This window comes from Homo sapiens, chromosome 1 (assembly GCF_000001405.40).
Source record: "Homo sapiens chromosome 1, GRCh38.p14 Primary Assembly".
NCBI classification, from domain to species: Eukaryota; Metazoa; Chordata; class Mammalia; order Primates; family Hominidae; genus Homo; species Homo sapiens.
The window spans coordinates 198,254,153-198,276,212 of NC_000001.11; the positions used below are offsets into that span (position 1 = coordinate 198,254,153).

Here is a 22,060-nt window from a genome sequence, read left to right on the forward strand (position 1 = left end):
AATGAAACTAATGATTTATAAAAGGTTTTATCTGGTATATGTGTTAGATGTAAACAATAATAGAGATACCCGCATATCCACAAGGCAGCTTAAGAAATAAACATTAAAAATATTTTCGACATGTGTGTGCTACTCCCTTCCCTCAGAGATAACCATATCCTGAATGTAATGTTTATCATTCCTTTGTTTTTCTTTATTGTTTTTCCTACATTGGTATGAATTTCTAAAATAGTCTATTGTTTACTTTTGCATTTTTTTAAACTTTACATAAATGAAGCATGTTTTATATATGTATTACACGCACACACACTCACACAGCTTGCTTTTTTCACATAGCTTCGTGTTTGAGCAATTAGTCCGTGTTGGTGCATGTGCTGTAGTTTATCCTTTTTGCTACTGTATAATATTCACTTGTTCTTGTTGATTGTTGTTTAAGTTGTTTACAGTTATTTGCTATTACAAACAATGCTTCTCTGATATTCTCATGTCTTTCCTAGTTTACACATACAAGAATTTCTCTCTTGTTTGTGCTTAAGAGTGGAAATGACTGCATCCCACAGGGGATGCATGTGTACTGCAAGTTAATGCCAAGTTGCTTTCCAAAGTTGCACTGGTGTAAGTTTTCGCCAGCAGCATATAAGAATTGCAGTCTTCTCTGTTTTAATATGCCACTCAGAGCTTAAGAAAACACAATATGGGATGTAGTTATTAGTGTTTATGAAAGAGATTACTTTTGGAACGATTATTCCCTTACAAAAGAACTCTGATTCATTTTTAAAATGGATTAAATTTCTACTGTGATCTCTGAGCACCCAGGGAAATAAAAAAGAAACTAGTGGTATTATTCCTGCCCTCCAGGGGAACAAGAGTCTATCTAGAACAGTTTAATGTTAAACCCTGTGGCATGGGTTCCTGATTTAAATAAGAGTTCACAGAATGGAGATGTCAATTTGAGCTGTTGGAATTGGTGGAATTGGAACTTAAGCCAGGCTATAAATATGAGCCCAGATTGTGGTGAGCATTGGAGCCAGACAGAGGAATTTGAACCGTAGGCAATTGAGGATGCATTGTGGACTCTCAAGTAGAGTAACAATCTTCAAAATCCATTATTTTCAAAGTAAAATTACAAGCTCAACATACAGAATAGAATGGAGAGAACATAGCTGCCAATCTGCCACAGATTGTCAAGATGGGAGGTTGGATGGATTGAGATCCATTTGGAGGTCTCTGGGGACTCTTGGATCCCTTCTCTGATTCTGAGTGTGGAAAACAGGGCTCAATTCTGTCTCTAGTGATTATATTTTACATTGCAGAACCTTCTCATTAGAAACAGAAAGAAAGAAGGGAAGAAAGAAAGAATGGAGGAAGGGGTGGAGGGAGGAAGAAAAAAGCTCTTGCTGCATTTTTCTATTGATTGGGAATTTGAATAAGTGTGAGTTAATTTGCACAATTGTATTTCCATTCAGTATTAATTGGACATTACCCTCTAGCTGCCTCTGTTTTACGCTGTGATAAACCTCAAATTACTGTAGGAAGTTAAAGTTTATTCTTTTGGATTATCCCATTCCTTTCTGCTTTAGTGTGGATATTGTGACATCTAGTTTAAACCTAATTTCTTCATAGAAGACAGAAATGATATTGTGAAGATATTCTTACCTTATTTATTAGGGAGCAACGCCTTAAACCTTTGTAAGGAGAAATATATTTGCATTTTAGACATATTGATTCTTGTGACATATTACACTTGTGCTGAACAGGAAAACCCATGGTTCTTTATTTTTAAAAAGTCATCTCTGCAGCTTAAAATACAAAATTTTATAATATTGCTGACCAATGCTTTTCCTTTTTGAAGAATGCTAACCTAACTCTTTAAAAAAACCCTAAAGAATTAAATATTGAATTTCCTCATGCAACTTGTTATTTTAAGGCTATATTACTTGTCTCAAGAACTGTATTACTGTTCCCAGGTCCACTAGACTCCTTGAATACTTTGGTTGAGTTCATAAAATATTGGTTTTATCATTCATTTCTCTGCTTACAAATTTTTAATGAGATACCATCCAGAATCCTCAGCTTAGTTTTTAAGGCCCTTCCCTACTTTGTGCCACTCCATTTAGTTCACTGATTCAGGGCTATTAACAAAGGATGTGTTCAGCTCTGGCCATTTTCCTGCAGGTTTGCCTGTTACCTGTATGGGAAAGAAGAGTGTGTGCGCTAAATGCATGTTACTTCTTGGAAATCATAAAGGGATCTGAGAGCCTACAGTATATGGCAACATTAACCAATCTTTTTGAAAATTTACCTGTATCCCATCATGGTTCATTTGCAAAAAAATAAGATGGTACCTTAACTAATAAAACAATTTTGAAATTCTCTGTACCAACTTTGCTTTTCTTTCTCTCTTGCCTCCTTCTTCAGTGCTTCCCTTCCTGCTGATCATTGAATTCATTCCTCCAGTATTTATTGGCCACCTAGTGTTTATTGGTCAGTGTCTAAGGCTTTAGGAAGATTAAGATAAACATAATGAGACTCATGGGATTCTAGTGGGGGTACAACAAAGACACCTCTAACATAATGAGATAGGCACTCATGTGATAGGAGCAGCCTTGAAGAGAACAGGTGTGAGGAGGAGCTTAGGAAAGAGGCTTCACAGAGTTCGTGAGCTGGGTCTCAAAACTTACGTTCTTTATGTTGGAAGATTATCAAAAACTTATTTTGATCTGGTATATGCAATCTCTATTTTATTATATTTTGCTCATTGATTAGAGCTATAGGAATGAAGTTGGTTTTTATTTCATCAGTCTGACATAGTGTTACAGTAGTGTGAATTTTGGGTCTCACTGTTTCTTAGTTCTTTGACCATTGTACTCTCATTTTTAAATAATACGTGAGGTATTTTGATCCTTTGTTCATTAATGCTTAATTTCGCTTTGCTTACTCTTAACTATATTTCTAGATAACACTATTTTACTGTGTGGCAGCCATTGTCAGTGAGTTTTTTTTAGGAAGAAAAGCTAAAATAATACTTTATGTATTTATACAAATAAACATAAAGTGATAATATTGTTCAGATTTACCTTTTGATTCAGGTGATCTCAAAAAGTCTTCCCCAAAGTATTCTTTGATATTGAATGCTTACCTTTTATTTACTTATGTTTGTTAGTTGCTTTAAAGTATTTTTCAAGCAAATAACTTTTTAATTTCTATTAATAAGTTACTTTTTATCATCTTAAGTTTAGATTCTGCATGTTTGCATATAATTAGAAATTAGGATTATATATGATCAGAAATTTGTGGACAATGATAGCACTTCCATAATACATAGGCTGATTTTAATATATTCGTAACCTCTGTGGCTCTGCCTTCAATCTCTTTTTCAGTGTTCATTGTGATTAATAAATTTATCTTGCAGCTTTTATGAACTTCATTTAATCTCTATAGACTTCCTTTCAGATTTCCAATTGTTATTTGAATAAATGAAAACTAAGCATTTGTAAGAATAATTCATAAATGACATTTAAAAGATACAGAACAATTTGGTAAATTAATGTTAGTTTTTACTTGTCAAGGTGGAATAGGCTTTTATCTTTAAAATTAAAGCTTTTTAATTTTAATTACTTGTACTTGCAATCTTAAGCATTTCTAAGCAGATAAGAAACAGAAAATTTCCAGTTTTATGGATTGTTTAACATTTTGGGGTTAAACTACTATATGGCAGACACTGTACTTGACAATAGGGACACAATAGTGGGACACAATAATTAAATCCAACATTTTTGTGTGGAAAATAGACAATAAATCAAATAATTATAGCAAAAAATAAATCAAATAATTATAGCCAAAAAGGAAATGACCATGCTGTGGTATTAGAGACAAACTAGAGGAGGAGAGCATTTTAGATAGAGTGTGCAGCAAAGGCCTCTCCGAGGATGTGAAATTTAAGCGTAGGTGGAGGATAAGGAGTCAGTCATCTGAAGGGTAGTGACAGGAAGGTTCCAGCTGTAGAGCCGGGCACGGTGACTCAACGCCTGTAATCCCAGCATTTTGGGAGGCTGAGGCGGGCAGATGACGAAGTCAAGAGATCAAGACCATCCTGGCCAACATGGTGAAACCCTGTCTCTACTAAAAATACAAAAATTAGCTGGGTGTGGTGGCACACGCCTGTAGTCCCAGCTACCTGGGAGGCTGAGGCAGGAGAATCGCTTGAACCCGGGAGGTGGAGGTTACAGTGAGCCAAGATCACGCCACTGCACTCCAGCCTGGAGACAAAGCAAGACTCTCTCAAAAAAGAAAAACAACAACAACAAAAACTTGCTTAGTATATATTTTTAAGTACTTTGTTTTCTGCATTTTAAATGGTCTTTCTTCTAACAATTTGACATATGCCTTTTTAAGGGGATATTTCTGTTAAGTTACTAGAAGGATTTCATTTCCTTTTAAAGAAATCTAGTGTTAACCTTTTCAGTTTCATTAGCTATGAGTAATTTTGGCAAAATTTTAAGATGACAAAAGAAAACCTTTAAAATGATTCAGAGAATACCAAGAATTTATCAGTCATTACTTGCCTAACCACAGCTCATCCCTTGCTCTTACCAAGTATAAAATGAGTTTAAAAACCTGAAGAAACTTTGGTGGAGCTGAATGAAAATGATGCCTCCTAAAGACTTGTTTGTACATATTATATGCAAGATATTCTTACAAAGTCCATATTTTCACCCAAGACATACTGCTTTTTCTTGCTCATGAAATCATCGGACAGCTTTGAATCTGTGTTTGGGAATGATGTAATCTAAATATTCATTATTATTTATTTTTGTCTTGACTTGTTGGCTGAGAGAAAAAGAAAGATAAGATACTTCTGAATTTCCAGTTAAATGTATTTGTAAATGTATTTTGCTCAGAATTTAGTTTTGCTTTAGATGTGCCATCAATGCTTATTTCTCCCTGTGTTTGAGGAGTGACTTTTGATATTATTGAAAATTCAGTTAAAAATAAAAGTCAATTTGTAATTCTAAATTAATTTTTATAACTTGAATTAAAGATTTTCTATGTAGCATGTTTCTATCTTGATATGTTGTATCTTGTTATGGTTTCCTAAAACTCTTATACATCTATTATTCATTCTTATCTCACTCACCCTCTTTTGTTTTTAAAAATGTTGTTCCACATCATAGAGACATTGATTACTGAGAGATTAAATACATATATGTCTCCAAGTTTGTGATTTTCTTCATTTTAATTACTGGTACTATATGGGCATTATTCTTTCTCTGCCTCCTAAAACAAACAAACAAAAATACCAGGAATTACATCAAGATCTGATATACTTACAATTTTGTGCTTTCCAGTATATCTTTGATTTATCTCAAATTCCTTGTAAATAGCATTTCCTGAGAATGGCATCAGCATTTATGATGTGTCAAGAATCAGTTATTTCTCATGCCATTTTGATTTAAAGTGCAAGTAGTCTGTGTGTGTGTGTTTCATACCTATAACTAATATCAAGTTCAAATTTTTCTGTTTCCATTAGTGTTTGTTTTATTGTTTAACATGTTGATATAATAATCCCTTTGGGGGAATGAATGGCATTTCTATGTGAAATTGCTAAATGTAAAGCTTATTCCTTCAGTTCAAGAACTTTCGATTTTACACACACACTCACACACACACACACATATATATTTTCCTGAAGGGCATTACGCATTCCTGCTTATATAAATCAGTTATTGAGAGCCCTTCCAGCCAGCCATGCTCACCCCCATTAAGGTTCTTACATCACTTTGAACAAGTAGCACTTACAAGTTGCGTGTTAATTTTCTGTGTTGCAGTCTGCATTCTGCATCTGACACTGTGCATCTTAAAGGACTGCAAGATGGTTTTCTTATTTGTATCTGTAATAAAATCTGATAGTAAGATGGCATTCAGCATGGATTTTTATATGTAGAAAGGGTGGGCATTAACAGTTTAAGCTTGTCTGTACTCAGGATCAGGTTATTCATATTAATAATTTGTGTGTAGAGTTAAAACTATGATGCTCTTGGAGAAAATTTCTGCAAGGTTTTTCCTTCCTTCCATAAATAGTGTCATATGGTTTGTTCTTTAATACTGGTAATTTTTTTAACCCCTGCTATTGGTGTCCATTTATATCTAGCTCATTTTGTCAAAGCTTAATGTATACAACAGCTTAATGTTAGCTAAAACATATCTTACTAGATAGTTTATGTGAACTTTGTGATAGTGATTTGCCACTCATAGTCCTTTCCTTTTTTTTTTTTAACCCCTTTTCCTTTCCTTGCTGTTGTTTCATCGTGTTGCATTCTGTTCCATTCTGAAATCATGGTAGTTAACATGAGTTTACTGTGGCTGACATGGTTAGAATTACTGCTAATGGAAAAAAGAGAAGTTAACTCTCTTTAATATATGTACCGGCATACATATTTCTTCTTCTGTTATTTGATTAAGTGGGAGAAACTTTGATGTAATCTAGTCTGTCTCTTTTTGTAAACCATCAAGTAAGGTAAGGCTTTATATTTTTTCAAATCTTAAACTGCAGTGCTCAATATTTTACATTAAAAGTTGCAGAACGTAAATTTGATACTTGAAGTTTTCATTAGAAGTAGTAGAACCAAAATAATGTTAGTGAAAAAGCATATATATCATTTTATATACTGCTATTTTCACTATGCAAAAAGCACATGCGTTTGTACAAGAAATAGAAGGGACTGAGCCAAAGCTAAAATTCTTTAAGGCAGTGAGTTTATGGATTTTATTTTTGCTTTATAATCTTATCTAATATCTTCATATGGTTTTTTAAATTAAGACAAATTAGAACTTTGTGTATCTTTGGATATTAAGAATGATATCTAGAAAAAGTTGCCTCTTATAAGCTGTAATTTTACACCCTTATTCCATATTTACTTTTATGCAGTAGATATCTTTTGTTTCTGACTGGCAGAATCCTATAATTCTTTCAAGGTTCACCTCTAATGGTACCCGCCACCCTACATGGAAGGAATTTCTTCCTTAGGTTTCTAATACTACACTTTGTACACACATATATTTTAATACTTATTAGCTAGTTGTGTATGCATTAGACTTTGTGACAGCCTGGCTCATTGAGAAAACACTGACTATGGAGCTAGAACAACCTGGCTTCAAGTCCTGATTCTGTCCTTTACTAGTTTTATGATCATAAGCATATTATTTAATCTTTTTGAGCCTCAATCCTCATCTTGTTATTGTGGCCAATACTACCTGTCTTATAAGATTGCAATGAAGTTTAAAGCATCATGTGTAAAGAGGCCAGCCCTCTCTGGTAGTGTCTAATAACTACTTCTTTAATTAAAAAGACTTGGATTCTGCCACTCCTTTGACATTGTACCTTCTTTTCCTGGAATGTTAGCTGGCTGAATCAGGAAGACTTGATCAAGCTGATTACTAAAAATGTCATTAATTTTTTTATTTGTTATGTAACTAGGGTTTTAATCAGCTTGCAGTACTGACTTAGATTTTTTTTGCAGTCTCTAAGATATTGCTTTTTTAAATGTTATTTTCCACACACTTAGAACCTTGAGAGATTTGTGTTTTCAGAGACACATGAAATATCTTTTTGATTGTATTTTTTATTTTTATGTTTTTAACAGTAGGTTAATATTTTTCAACCTTTTCTTCATTATCCTCCCCCCAAGCTGCCTGTTTAGACATTTCTTCCTAATTACCTCTACCCATGAAATTTTAATTCCACAAATACAGTATATCTGTTTATGTGTAGTACTGTATGTGTATCTATACTTTATACTTAATAGAGTAAAATTTTGTTACCCTTCTCCACAAAGAACCAATTTTCACCCCCTTGGAATGATATCACCCTTGTCAAGAATGCATGCATCAGACCTTTTAGACATGATTTGATGGAACAGATTAATGGTTCAGTGCTTGGGTTCTAGATGGATAACTCTGAGAATGAATTCTGCTTGCTCTGTTGATTAGCTGTGTGACCTTTTGTCATTCTCCTTAGCTTTCTAAAGCTTCTCTTCTTCATCTGTAAAATGGGAATACTACTATTATCATCCTCATAAGGTTGTGCAGTACATTTAGCATATATTAATTGCTCAACATATATTAGCTATTACTTTATCATCTTAATAATCACAACTTTAATTTTGTTCATTGGAACTTAAGACCTGAGTGTTAAGGGGTATCTACCTGTTCTCTTTATCCATTTTTTAAATACTGACTGCTGAAAATGTAAGCAATGTTGGTAACATAAGATACCTACAGAACTCCTTAATAAAGAAAAGCTAATCAGAAAGAAAATTCCTTAGTGTACAAATAATTACATGTAGAGTATTAAAATGAATTTACACAATAGCTTGAACCATAGGTTATTATTTTATTAAGTAATTCTGGGTTCTGTTTTTAGATATTTGATTTAATGGATGCCAAAGCACGTGCTGATTGCATCAAAGAAATAGATCTTCTTAAGGTAATTAATGAACTGTTGACTCTTTTGAACATAACATGGTGATAAAAGTGATTTACTAAAATATCACACTTAAACACAAAAAGGTTTTTAAGACTTATGCTACACTGATTTCAAGTAATATTATATAAGGTTAAATTTCAGTATACTGAAGAATGTAGTTATTTTTTGGATTTATTGTTAAATAACATAATCAGAACATTTGTAGGACCAGCTTTTTTTTCTCATTTCAAAGTAGGAAATAGATAAAATGGGCATAAAACATTGAAGAATTTTTTTTTCTTGACCACCCCAACAAGACATATTCTAAAGGTTAAGTAATATAAATGCAAATTAGCATTATCTCAACATGTATTATATTGAGAATGTGGACTAATCAAAATGGTTCACATGCATTTTCTAATGTTTCAATACTTTTTCCAGACTTAGACAGAGTGCATGTAAAGAGTATGCCAGGAATTAGCTTTTTAGTTTCTCATCTACTAAGAATATGACTGAGATTTCAGTTATTTCTGCACTGCTTCTTTTATAGTGAAGTTTCTTTTGAGAAATACTGCGGCCTATGTTGTATTTTTAACTTTTAGTTAAGACTTCGCTCTTTTTTTATGCCATCCGTTTGTGTTAGTGCCTAAAATGAACCAGATTTATGCAAAAAGGAAGAAAGTAAGGTCAAAACAATGTTTTCTGACTATTCTGTTAGTTGTAGTTATTTCTTGGCACATGAAGTAGCTGGCTTAAATATATGTAAACTTTTACTGTGGAAATAGCATGTCATCATAGAAAATTTGCAGCGAAAACTTTAAGTAGAAAGAAGAAAGTCACCCATACTTTCTGCATAATTTCTCAGAGAAACAATTCATCTTGTATTAATATGTTTAAAGATTGAACAAAAGGATTGCAAATGAGTAGGGACTGATACGTATATTTCTACAAGGTAAAATTTTTCTTAGGGATGATTTTATGAATTGGCTCACATGAATAAGTCCTGTATGTTATTTGATATAAAAGCAATAGTTAGATATAGTATAGTAGGTACCAGCTGTGTTTTGTCTACTAGCTGGAGTTATTCTAGGACCAACCATAACTTCCAAGTAGGAGTAAAAAGGGATACTTTATTTATCATTGAGTGTTCCTAAATGAAAGTTCTCATTTTGAGGATGTAATTTTTAGCAGTTGGCGACCTAATTCTATCATTTACTTCTTGCATCTGTTGATATGCTTATTGGGCATAGCAGTACTTTTAAATTAAGATTTAAACGTAAAATATATTCTTTCTAATAAAGAATATTAAGATAAATTAATTTATACCTAGTTTTACTTTTAATAATTGTAATATTTGTTTCACAATTCACTAAAGAAAAGTATACTGTCATGTTAAGATTTCTGTAATTTAAAAAATACGGTGAAGTTTGTTCTTAAGTACAAAACTATAAGTGACTCTTGGATATTTACAGTAAGAAAACTTTCTGATGCCTGTTTTATTTTCTCAGCAACTCAACCATCCAAATGTAATAAAATATTATGCATCATTCATTGAAGATAATGAACTAAACATAGTTTTGGAACTAGCAGATGCTGGCGACCTATCCAGAATGATCAAGGTAAGTTTTGAAAAAATTGTCTTAATGTTTTGTTTTGTTTTTTTTTCTAATAGAATTGTCTGTTAAACACATAGGGATATTAGATATTTTAAACTAAAGACCTCAATGCAAAGCTTATCTGATAGATATGTAACAAATAGTAGATGGTTAGTGATCATAATTCTGAAACTGGTTTACTTGGTGATGTTTACACTGATCAGCTTAAATATCTAAACACCCCAAAACCAACTTGGAAAGAGGCCAAGATACTTGTCTTCTGTAAGTTGAGTTAAAGTTTTGCTGTTTGATTCTCTGAGCAGACCATGCTTGATCCTGTGTCTCTGGACATGAGTAAAAGGAGGTAGAAAGAGACTCTAGAGCAGCTTGACCTGTTTCTTGGGGGGGAATCCATCAAAGAAAGTGGGATTTGCAGTCAGACCTTGGATATCAACCCCACATAAAAGTTGTTTAACCTTCTTTTCTAAGGGCATATTAATTCATAATTAATATAATTAAGTTGTTTAACCTTCTTTTCTAAGGGCATATTAATTGGGTTTAAGTTCAGCTGCAATTAATAGAAACCCTTAAATAATAGTAGCTTAAAAACTGTTTGTCCTTGGGCCAGTTACTTCTCTGTGTCACATTTTCTAAAAAACACAGTAATAATAGAACCTACTTTATAGGATTGTTGTAATGATTGAATTAATTAGTATTTATTAAGAGCTTAGAAGAATGCCTCACACATTGTAAGGCTATGTAAATGTATCTGCTGCTGCTATTATTATTGTTATTGTTATTATTTCTCTGTCACATAAAAGTCTGGGGCTAGTATGGTAGCTCTGCTCTATCAAGAGTATTTTAGAGACCCAGCCTATTTCTAGCTTATCAAGTCACACTAGGCTTGAAGGGACAAAGAGTACATGCTGGCTTTATCTTAAAGCACATTCCTGAGTGCTGCCTGTCACACAACATTTTCAACTTCATTCCCTTGGCCAGAATGTACTCTCATGAACCTATCTAGCTGCAAGGAAGGCTGGAAAAGAAAGTCTTCATTCAGCTGGCCATATGCCCAGCTAAACTTCTGTTACTATGGAAGACAAGTTGAACCATCTAGAAACAAACAAGAATAACCGAATGAGAAAAACAAAAGCTATTTATTTGAGCTTGCTGTAGCAAGGGAGTCAGCCAGTCATCACTTGCATCTTGGCAGAGAATTAAAAGCAAGCAAAGGAATGAAAGGTTCATAGAGGGAAGAAAAGGGAAGCCTTTGGGTATGCCCTGATGGGAGGCTGCTGACATAGAGAAGCTATAGACCGGCTGACTAGAAACAGGACGTCCTTGTGATTGGTTAGGAGTACATATTTGGCTTTCTCTGGTTGGTCCTAGTTAGAGGCAGAGACAAAATTAGGGAAGCTGTCAGTTATTAATCAATTGTTATAGAAGTTACTGTTTAGCTTCCTAGATTGTCACTAGAGGTAGCAGTCTGGCTTCCTGCAAGTCTAACTTATAGCACGCTGGCTTCCTGCATTGTTTAGTGTAGATAAAGAGTTGATTTCCTGGGCAGGTAGGAAAGATTGATATGTGGTTGGATATATGTACATACATTAGTACATATGCCTTTAAATAGATGGATGGATATGTGTACATACATTAGTACATATGTCTTTAAAAAGTATACATATAAACATACTATATATTATGTTACTTAACCATCATAATAAAACTATATGACAGGTATTACTGACCCAATTTTATTTATATGGTCCTTCCTTTTTCTCCCTCACTCCCATGTCCCAGAAATAACCTCTAACCTTTACGTGCACAAAACCTTCCCAACTTTACTTACTATCTTTATACCCATTTAAATATAAGAATATATACTAATACATTTATTCTTTCTCAGACACATCACGATTTATTTTATTACTTTGTTAATAATTGGATTGTTTTCATTTTTTATTCTTACAGAGAAATCTCAAGTACAAAGCCTTATCTACATCAATACAACTATATCTATACATACTCTATTGTCTATTTCTATTACATAGATTCATATAAACATTGCCGAGTAAGAGTATGCACATTTTAAATGATAATAGCTATTGCCAAATTAGTCCCTTAAATAGTTAGTACCAATTTGTAGCTTTTAAAAAATAGCTCTAGATTTTATTTTTTCATTTATTAGACATTTACTATGTGCCAGGTGCATGGTTCATGGCTTTTTGGAACTCATCATCCAGTGGGAGAAACAGGCATTTGACTAATACTAATATAAAACTATATACCTGCAGTTGTAATGAGTTATATAAAGGAAAAGTGTGGGTTATAAGGGATGATTATAACAGGATCTCTGAAACTACACTGGTGAATTCAGATGGCAATTAAAGGATTTTAATCAGTTGTCCTAGTTATTTAATCTTAATGATTGAGCCAGTTTCTACATCAATAAAATTGGGTCAGTAATACCTGTCTTACAGTGTTGTTATGATGGTTAAGTAATATAATATATAGTATGTTTATATATATACTTTTTAAAGACATATGTACAAATGTATGTGCACATACCCATCCATCTGTGCCTGTATGCATGTATGATATCTGATAGGTATTCACATTTTCTTTATTCCATTTAAACCTCTGATCACTACTCTTCTTCTAGCCCCCTTGCATCATACAAATCTACCCTTTTCTACTCTTCAAAGTTGACTTTATTCCTCCAGTTTTACAGAGTATTTAGAAGTCACTAGACAGGAGCACCCTCACCTTCCCATAACTGAACCTGCTAGACCTACTTGTGTCTGTTACTGTTCTCTCCTCCTTCTCTCCTGTTACCGTATTCTTGTTAGATAGGAGGGATTGTTATGTGTCCCTCCACCTGGGTTCTCTATCCTTTCTCTGCCTGTATTCTCAGAAATCTTAATTCCTATCATTATCTGTTCCCAGTCCTAGATTTATAACCATTGTGCACTTCTGAGTGCCTTTTCTCATCATTTAAATATGCTCAGGTCACTGTTATTTTAAACATATTTACATGTATATACATGCACACACACCTGTTCCTCATTCATTCATTCATTCATTCATTCATTCAAGAAACTTATTTTCCAGTGGGGAAGTCAAATAAAATGCTAAAAGCAAGTAGAATATATGATATGCCAGATGTTGATAAATCAATTGAGAAAAATTAAATAAGGAGTTTGGAGGAGGTGTGTTGCTATTTTATTTTATTTATTTAATTAATTTTTTTGAGATGGAATCTCACTCTGTCGCCCAGGGTGGAATGTAGTGGTGCGATCTCAGCTCACTGCAACCTCTGCCTCCCAGGTTCAAGCAATTCTCCTGTCTCTGCCTCCCTAGTAGCTAGGACTACTGGTGTGCACCACCACACCTGGCTAATTTTTGTATTTTTAGTAGAGATGGGATTTCCCCATATTGATCAGGGTGATCTCGAACTTTGACCTCAGGTGATCCACCTGCCTCAGCCTCCCAAAGTGCTGGGATTACAGGTGTGAGCCACTGTGTCCAGCCTGTGTGTTGCTATTTTAAGTAAGATGATCTCAGAAGACCCTCTTAAGTCCTACCACCCTCACCTCTGCCTGCCTTTTCCTTCAATTACTACCCTAGTTCTTTTTTTTCCTTCACAGTCAGACACTTACTCCTGACCCTCTTTCCAACCTACCACTCGTAATGGCTCTTCAATGACCTCTCTCATGAAACCAGAGGACTTTGTCCAGTCTTCATTCTGCTTGATTTCTCAGCAGCATTTGGCTCTGCTTTTCATTCTCTTCCTAAAACACTCCTCCATCGGCTTATTGAGTCCCACAGTGTCTTGATTTTCTTCCTACCTCTCTGGAGACTATCATTTTTCTTAACTGACTCATTCTCTTCTTCCTGGCCTTTAATGATGGAATTTTAAGTTTCAGTCCTTGACTTTTTTTTTTTAATGTTCTTACGTTATAGCTGATCTCATTCATACCTACGGATTCAATTACTCTCTATACTCTTGTTGACTTCCAATTTTTTATCTTTAGCATGGAGCGCTCTTTAAATTCTGACTCTATATGGCTCAATATGTCTGTAAACAAATTCCTTACAGACTACCCATCCTCCCATGTTCCCTAACTCGAGGCCTGGCACCAGTTTATCTCGTGCACTCTGGAAACCAGGACTTTTTTTTGACATTTCACTCTCCCTTACCTCTTCTTTTCAATCTCACCAGATTCTGTTTATTTTTTCTTCTAAATGCCTTTCAAATTTCTCCACCCAGCTCCCTTTCCATTTCTCTCCCTATCGTCTCTCATTTGGAGAGAGCGAGAGCTTTTTGTCTCCCAACATCCAGCACCCATTCCTTAAATCCGTTTCTCCATCAGTCTTTAAGACGTTAGAAGGGAGAGAAACAAAGAAAAAAGAAAAACTTCCTTTCAATCACATCTTTCTAGGTTTTCACTTTAAGGGTAAAGACTAAAATGTTTGGCAAGATTCAGCAAGCCTTGTGTGATACAGAAGATACGCTCCCTCAGAGAGGATCCGAGTCCGTTTTGTGTATTCACATATCCCAAGTGCCTAGAGCAGTGCCTAGCACAGAGCTTGTGCTCAGCATATATTTGCTATGGAATCTGACTCCTGCTCTTGCTGTGGCTCATTGGCCTTTCATTTCCTTGAATGTGATTTTATTTTACCTGGGATGCTCTTCTTCTCCATTCTTGGCTGACTTTATTTCTGCTGGTACTTCAGTTCTTTACTTAGGTATCACTTCCTCAAGCATTTTCCTTTGACTCGTAGAGTACTTTATGGTATAAGTGCTCCCAGAGTACCCTTCCTACATAGCACTTAGTAATATAATCATGTATTCATGTGTGTAATTATTTTATTGGTGTTTGTATTTCCCATTAGACTTAAATTTCTGTTGAGCACAGAGACCATGCTGGCTTTGCTTGCCTGGCTATCTTCAGCTTCTAGCTCATAGCACCAACTTCAATAAATATGTAGTGAATAGATGTATAGAAGTTGGTTGTTTTACTTCTATTACACTTCTCTGTTCCAGGGCTCAGTAGATAACATGGGTGGTTGTATAACTGTCACAGCAATTTCCTGCTGCTTTATGCTCTCGTTTCATAGAGAGTTGCTGTGATATTCAGTGTATTTTTTTACGGGAGTGGGGTTGGGTAGTTAAGAAATTCTAAAATTGTTTTCTGAACATGCTTATTAGTTCTGTAAGCAGTTCTTTATAAAATAGATTATATCAGGAAAAAAAATCATAGGAACTTCTTTTGTGAAGGAATAGAACAATGCCTTAAAGCTTTACAAAGGACAGCAGTGAATGCTTGAATTGTAATGAACATGATTCATTTCTTTTTAGTGAGTAATATTGTAAATCATTGTGCATCATAACAATATATTTCATTCTCTCAAGTCTTCAGCTTAATTGGGGTACAAGAGGAAATATAGCTTCTGGTCTGTATTCCAGAAATGAACCTCTGGATAGCATTGCATCAAAGATTTTTACAAGTAAATAATTAATTGGTTCAGAGCAGGCTGACAAATATAATTAAGCAATTTATAGTTGAAATATTCAGTATTTCTCTAATTAGTGACAAAGGAATACCTGAGGCTGTGGTCAGATGAAATACTTCCCAGATGAGTTTTAGGATAAAAGGAAATCTAGAATTTTTCATCATAATTTCTTCATTATCAGCAATCAGAATTTTAAAGGAAAATCGACTCTTACAAAACAGATTTCAGTTAAATTGTGCTGTGTATGCCATATATTTTCTTTATTGTAGTTAAATTGGACACATACATGCTCCATTTTGTAGTATGTCTTATTATACTGTTTATTTCACTATTCTAATGTCAAGAAACATATTTGGTGATGAAGACCCAGTGTAGAGGAAATTAATCTCAAAAAATATATAAATAAGAGGATTTTAAAATTTCAACTTGTCAATAGAAATGTTACTAAAATATATTTTAAATTTTCATAGTTCATTTCACAAAATATACTTCATTCATTGAATTAATTTGTAAGTGCCTGTATTTATAACTACCTATTTGAATTAATATAGGTCAATTTGAGACAAATAGAAGAAACTGTAAATGCATGTATTTAATATTATATATTTTTAAAAATTGTTTTGCTAGACTAGCAATAAAACAAAATGTAACCTAATGTTTTGAGAAGAAACTCAGAGGTTTGTTATCTGCCAAGAGAATGTCATACCGTATCACAGTGGCTAAGGAGGAAATGAATATTATTCTTACAATTTTTTTAGTGAAATATGCAATACAAATAATTTAAATGGATGTCTGTTTCCTGCCAGGAGTTTGGTACTGCACAAAATAAATAAATAAGACCATCATTTCTTATTTCTAGGATATTTAGGTATAGGCTATCTTCTTAGATTGCTGACTTTGTATTTTCTACCTTGTTACCACCTGTAGGTCATTCCTTCTAAATTTGCTAGGAGCCTTAAAACTCTTTTTCTTTATACATACATAAGATTAATTTTACATACTGATTTTTCATGTGTTTACAACTGTATTTTGTATTAATTTTTTATTGCTGCATAGCAAATTACTACAAATTTAGCAGCTTTAAGCAACACAAATTTATTACTCTAGATTCCTGTGGGTCAGGATTAGTGGGTTCTCTGCTGAAGGTCTTAGAAAATTGAAATCAAGGTGCCATCTGGGGCTGTGAGCTCACTGAGGTTCAGGGTCTTTCTCCATGTTCACTGGTTTTTGGGGGAATTCAGTTCCTTGAAGTTGTATGGCTAAAGTTCCTACTTCCCTCCTGGTTGTCAACTGGGGGTATCCTTAGGTTCTTGAGGCTGCTGGCCATTTTCTGCCCCATTCATCTCCACAACCTGCCATTGTGTTCCCTTAAGACCAGCAGGAGAGTTTCTCTGGATTCAGATCTCTCTTGACTTTTTTGAATGGCTCACCCAATTAGGTCATGACTACCCATGCTAATGTCCTTCTTGATTAACTCAAAGTCAGCTGATTAGGGACCTTCATTACATCTGCAAAATCCCTTCTTCTTTATAACATCATATGAAATGGGAGAGTAATTCATAATATTCACATGCCCTACTCACATTCAAGAGAATGGGATTATACAACAGGACTTGAGAATTTGGGGGAGTGAGGTACATCTTAGAATTCTGCTTATGACAGACGTTAATAAATTAGCTAGAATGTCAACCATGTTTTGGAGATAACTGTTATCTTCAAATATTATAACTTAAAAATCTTGTTCACATACTTGGTTTGGCTGTTTTTACATTTGCAGACACATCTTTATTTGTCCTTATCCAAATGTAGAGGTTGTATTGGAAATAAAATCACTTTGAAATGTCTTTTACACTCTTGGCCTTTGGATCCTTAAAGCAATAAAGGTTTCCCAGCAGTCCCATCTCTCTTTGATAACTCTGATTTATTGTTTACCAGGATACCCACACTTTCCATTTCAGCATCTGGACAAAGTGTATAGCCCATATCAGACAATTATGAGAACTGCCAGTGATTCCAAATGCAGTTTCCCACTAAGTCTTTTGTATGAGATCATCACCTGTCTTATATTTCATTTTAGAATTATTCTGAAGTCCTAAGGTTGCAAGTTAGCACTATCTGAAAAAACTACCCAGGATTGAATATTATTTTATATATATATAAATTAAAAATTTATATTTTATATATATATATATATATACACACACACACACACACATAGATACATTTACTTAGGTACCTATACATAACATATGTACATCTATGTGTCTATATCTGTATAAATTTATGTCTACATATGGTATGTATATGTAGGTGTGTTGTATAGAATTATTTTTTTAAGAGCAATGTTACAGATAAAATATCACTTGGGTTTTCCTTGATACTTAAGTAGTTTGAAGTCGAAGCAGTATAGAACTTAGAGATTTTAGGAAATTGAACACTTTATACCGTGAAATGACCATTATTTAATTCTGTGAGCATAAATAAAAGGTGATGTACGAACTTTGAACTCTGTTTGCTTGGAAAAAATTGAAGATAATTTTGAAGGAGCTTATTGCTCCTTACATTTGAAGATGATAATGATATAAAGCTCCCTTTTGTAAACCATGTAATACCATCGTGAGCAGTAATTTTGGTAACTGTAGACACTTAAGTAAAGATAAGGGATACAGACACCATTATGCTAAGCATCTTAATTTCTCTCCTTTAGATTTCAATTGAGATACTTTTACTGTTCTGCTGTGTTTTCTTTGTTCATTATGAAAATTAAAATATCTCTTCAACTCTCTTAGTGTTGTCTAGTATAACATAGCAAGAAAATTTATTAAAGAGGGAAATATTTCTGTTTATCTTTGTGACCTTCTATTTCTCCTCGAAGACTGACTGACTGTTCTTTTTAATCTCACTTTATCTATCACTAGTACTCTGATGCAATAGAGAAAACATTTTAAGTATTTCCAAGTATTTTCTTATCAGTTTTAGTAATGTGGAAACTTCTCTTAAGAATTATTCACATGGCAGCAATGCAGGGACCATTCTTTTTAGTAATTCTGATGCATTCATGTGTTTTTATTGTTGATCTTTTAGTTTTTTAATATTCTAAATAAGTTGCCTTGATATTGATGTACCAGTTTTCAGGAGGCAACTGTTTTGGGGAAGTTTTGTGACTTTATGGGTACTTAGTTTTCTTGTTTGCTAAATAATTTAAGAGGTTTTTTTCCCTCAAGGTGTAATTGCTCATGAAAAATATTTTCTGTTTCACATTTTCTACCCTAAGATGAAATATATTTTTGGCTTGCATTAATAACTTGCACCATTTTAACTTTTGGGAATGAATTGATTATATTTATATTCTATTATAATCTAAAAACAGCTTAGCACTCTTAATAGATTTTCCAACATTACAGGAAAAGACAAAGACTAGTAGACCTTGGATAAGAAGATAAAATGAGATGCTAGTGATAAGTATTCTCAGTGATCTCATGACTGTCAGGCCCATCCTACTTTACACCTTCTAATGCAACTTAAGATATCTGAATTGTATTCATTGTGCCAAAAGAGAAAATACTTATGCACTGTAAATTAGTGTTACATACCAAAATTTTAATTTTATATAATTTCCCACAATTATGTATAGCAAATATTTGTGAAGTTTAGTTTGTTGATACCTCATTATGCCTTCCAAAGAAAAATGTTTCCATAGAAAGATTAATAAATGATAAAAATCACACTTAGAACTGTCCATTATACTTCCAGAAGCATCCTATCTTTTTCATCACCCAGTCTCTGTGAATTTAATTCTTTGAAATAACCACGACAAAATATAGTCTTATAAAATTGCATTATAATTACAATGCTGTGTTTGAGAACTTAACATCCCCTCTGATGGTAAATGTTTGACCTAATTACAAACTTATAACAAAGAATTCTAACTGCTTGTCATCTCATGTTAAGACCTTTTATAGTATTAAATGGACCAATAGGGATCTCTGAGGTTTTTTTGTTGTTGCTTTGTTTTTACTAATTGGATATATGAAGGATAAGGCATACCAAGAAACTATTATTTTTAAGTATGAAATGTGCCAAACAGACATTTATTATTTCTGTTTTATTTGAAACTAAGACTGTAGACCCACAGATTATATTTTAGAAGTGGTGGAGACGTCATAGATCATCTCCAAACTCTGTTTATAATAGAGTGAGGAAGCTGAGACCCATCAAGGTTAAATGGCTTGTTCAAGGTCACACAACCAGTTACTGTCAAACCTTATAATCAGGTCTATTATTATAAGATGGATATGGATTGTGTTAGTGGCACATTTAAACATTTGACAACACTCCAAGCAGGAAATGCTTCCTTATATTTAACATAAATCACTTACTTCCTCTTACTAGATACTTGGAAGAAATGGAGAGCAGCTGGTGCCTGTAATTCTAGTTCTCTTATGACTTCATTATTTCTCATCATTTAATTAACATTTTTCCTAATCCTCTTCAAAAACACCTTGCACACCAGGATTGCATTTTTTTGTTTGTTTGTTTTTTATTTTTTTAACCACAGCAGTACATTTCTAAAGGATGCTTAGTGTATGATTCCCTGGGTTGGCTACACAATTGCAAGTCCCTTTGTTAAAAATTAAAAATTTTTAAGATGGCAGTAACAGAGCTTTAAACCCCAAGTGCCAGACCTGCATAACACAGGTTTCCTGCCCATGAAGCTGACCCTGATAGTTCCAGATATTTTGCCTGAAATTTTCTTTTTTAAAGATTAACATGTCAAACTTTATGCTTAAATGTTTTGATATGCCACAGAGAATAGTAATTTTTTTGTAAAATAAGATCATTTTCTATCTTTCTCTGTTGATGAGGTTATGCTGGGTAATATCACTGAAGCTCTTCCTGAGATTTCTTGAGGAAGAATATTAGAATTATATAACTCAGAAATAAGCAGTGTATATTCTACTTGGAGTTGTAATGTCTAGAATGCAGGAACCAAGTTACTCAATGGAGTTCAAAAATGATACTTAGATATTCACTGTCCACTATATAATTGGATTTGGTCTTGGTCATTTAATTTGTAGTGGGATGTTTGGAGATGAATAATTTTAAAAAGAGTGTGTCTATTAAGATGTGACTATTTTCCCAAAATCTTTGAAAGGAGACAGCTTGGATCAGCTATAGCCCTTTTTATATTAATATAAATCACTTAGGTGGTGACGCAGATGGGTTTTACCAGATATGCTGAATTTCACCTAAGTGAAATGATGGTAATCTTCTTACACATAAGTCAGAAATAATATAATCTGATGTTTGTATATACATACTTTTATATGTAAATTGATTAGCTTTTTGTCACATCTGATTTTTCTGTTTGAATAATATCCAGTATTTATTTGAATAATTTTGATAAAAGTGGAAAAGTTACTTTTAAAGTAAATAGTATTTGAAGATTTGCATAGGGAAAAGACTAGCCTACTTAAAAAAAAAAAAGACTAAACAAAATTATGTCCAAGTGATCAGGTATATCTGGGTGTTTATTTTTGCCTGCCCATAAATTTTCAGATACTTTATTTTCAACTATAAAAAAGTTGCAATTCTATTTCATAGCATAAATATTGTAAAAGCGCCCTGTCACATATTCTTTCATTTTCTTATAAATATTTATATTGATACCAACTTTTAGATGGATTGGTTACATTATTTATTGCTATATTAAAAACTTACTATATAACAAATATATGTACATTTTTACTTTTTACACGTTGGCATTAGATTTTTTTTTTTTTAATCAGAGCTAAACATTTATATAGGGCTGCCTTTTTTCAAGGGAAACAGGATTTTCAAACAATAATGCTCTTTGGCTAGATAATTAACTTTTAAAAAGATATGTGTTTATTAGAATAAATTTTAAGAGAAGATTGTCCTTTCTTTTTTTAAATTCTTTGGCTTTATGGAAGTTCCTGCTTTGTAGTGCTAATATACATTTTACCCATAGTAAAAAGAATTCGAATTTTCATTGCCTTTTTGCTGTTCATCCTCTTTTAAGAGATAGCCAACAGTGCCACCATCAGAACAGACAGGCTTTTCTCATTTTAAGTGTTGGTTTTCTCAAAAAACAAAAAAAAACAAACCCCCAAAACCCTATACTTAAGGAATGGTTTAAAAACCACATATGTTTAAACACACACATTAAAAATAATGAGAGATACTAATGGCATAATGAAACTGCCTTTATTTTGTGAAAAAGTCAAATTCATGTCATTCTTTAAAGGCCTATAACGAATTTGGATACTTAACTCTTAGACCAGGTCATTCTGAGTAGTAGTATATTGAATTCAGCTTCTTGTCATCAGGTTTAACTTGTAAGTTACAGTCTCAAAGAATACAAAAACATGAAAATAATCAGATTATCTTGGTCCGGTAACGTCTTCCCTATTGTGCAATTTGGGGGCAATTTTTAAATTATGCCTTTTCTTTTAGATTTGAT

General features: G+C 33.3%; 1 protein-coding gene across 17 annotated transcripts in view, besides 1 other annotated feature; it reads left to right on the forward strand.

The window, feature by feature from the left end:
- The window catches only part of NEK7 (NIMA related kinase 7), a 165,423-nt gene that overhangs the window by 97,155 nt on the left and 46,208 nt on the right, over positions 1-22,060 (forward strand). For all 17 annotated transcript variants that reach the window (XM_047446560.1, XM_047446563.1, XM_047446572.1 and 14 more), the window contains 2 exons: positions 8,423-8,485; positions 9,973-10,083. In XM_047446560.1, the coding sequence (XP_047302516.1) occupies positions 8,423-8,485; positions 9,973-10,083 (174 nt within the window). The remainder of the gene's footprint in view (positions 1-8,422; positions 8,486-9,972; positions 10,084-22,060) is intronic.
- Positions 10,867-11,161: a silencer, noted in NCBI's record as "tiled region #4677; HepG2 Repressive non-DNase unmatched - State 15:Elon". NCBI's record gives its function as "represses a minimal TATA promoter and a strong SV40 promoter by Sharpr-MPRA in HepG2 cells {active_cell/tissue: HepG2}" and the evidence as "EXISTENCE:reporter gene assay evidence [ECO:0000049][PMID:27701403]".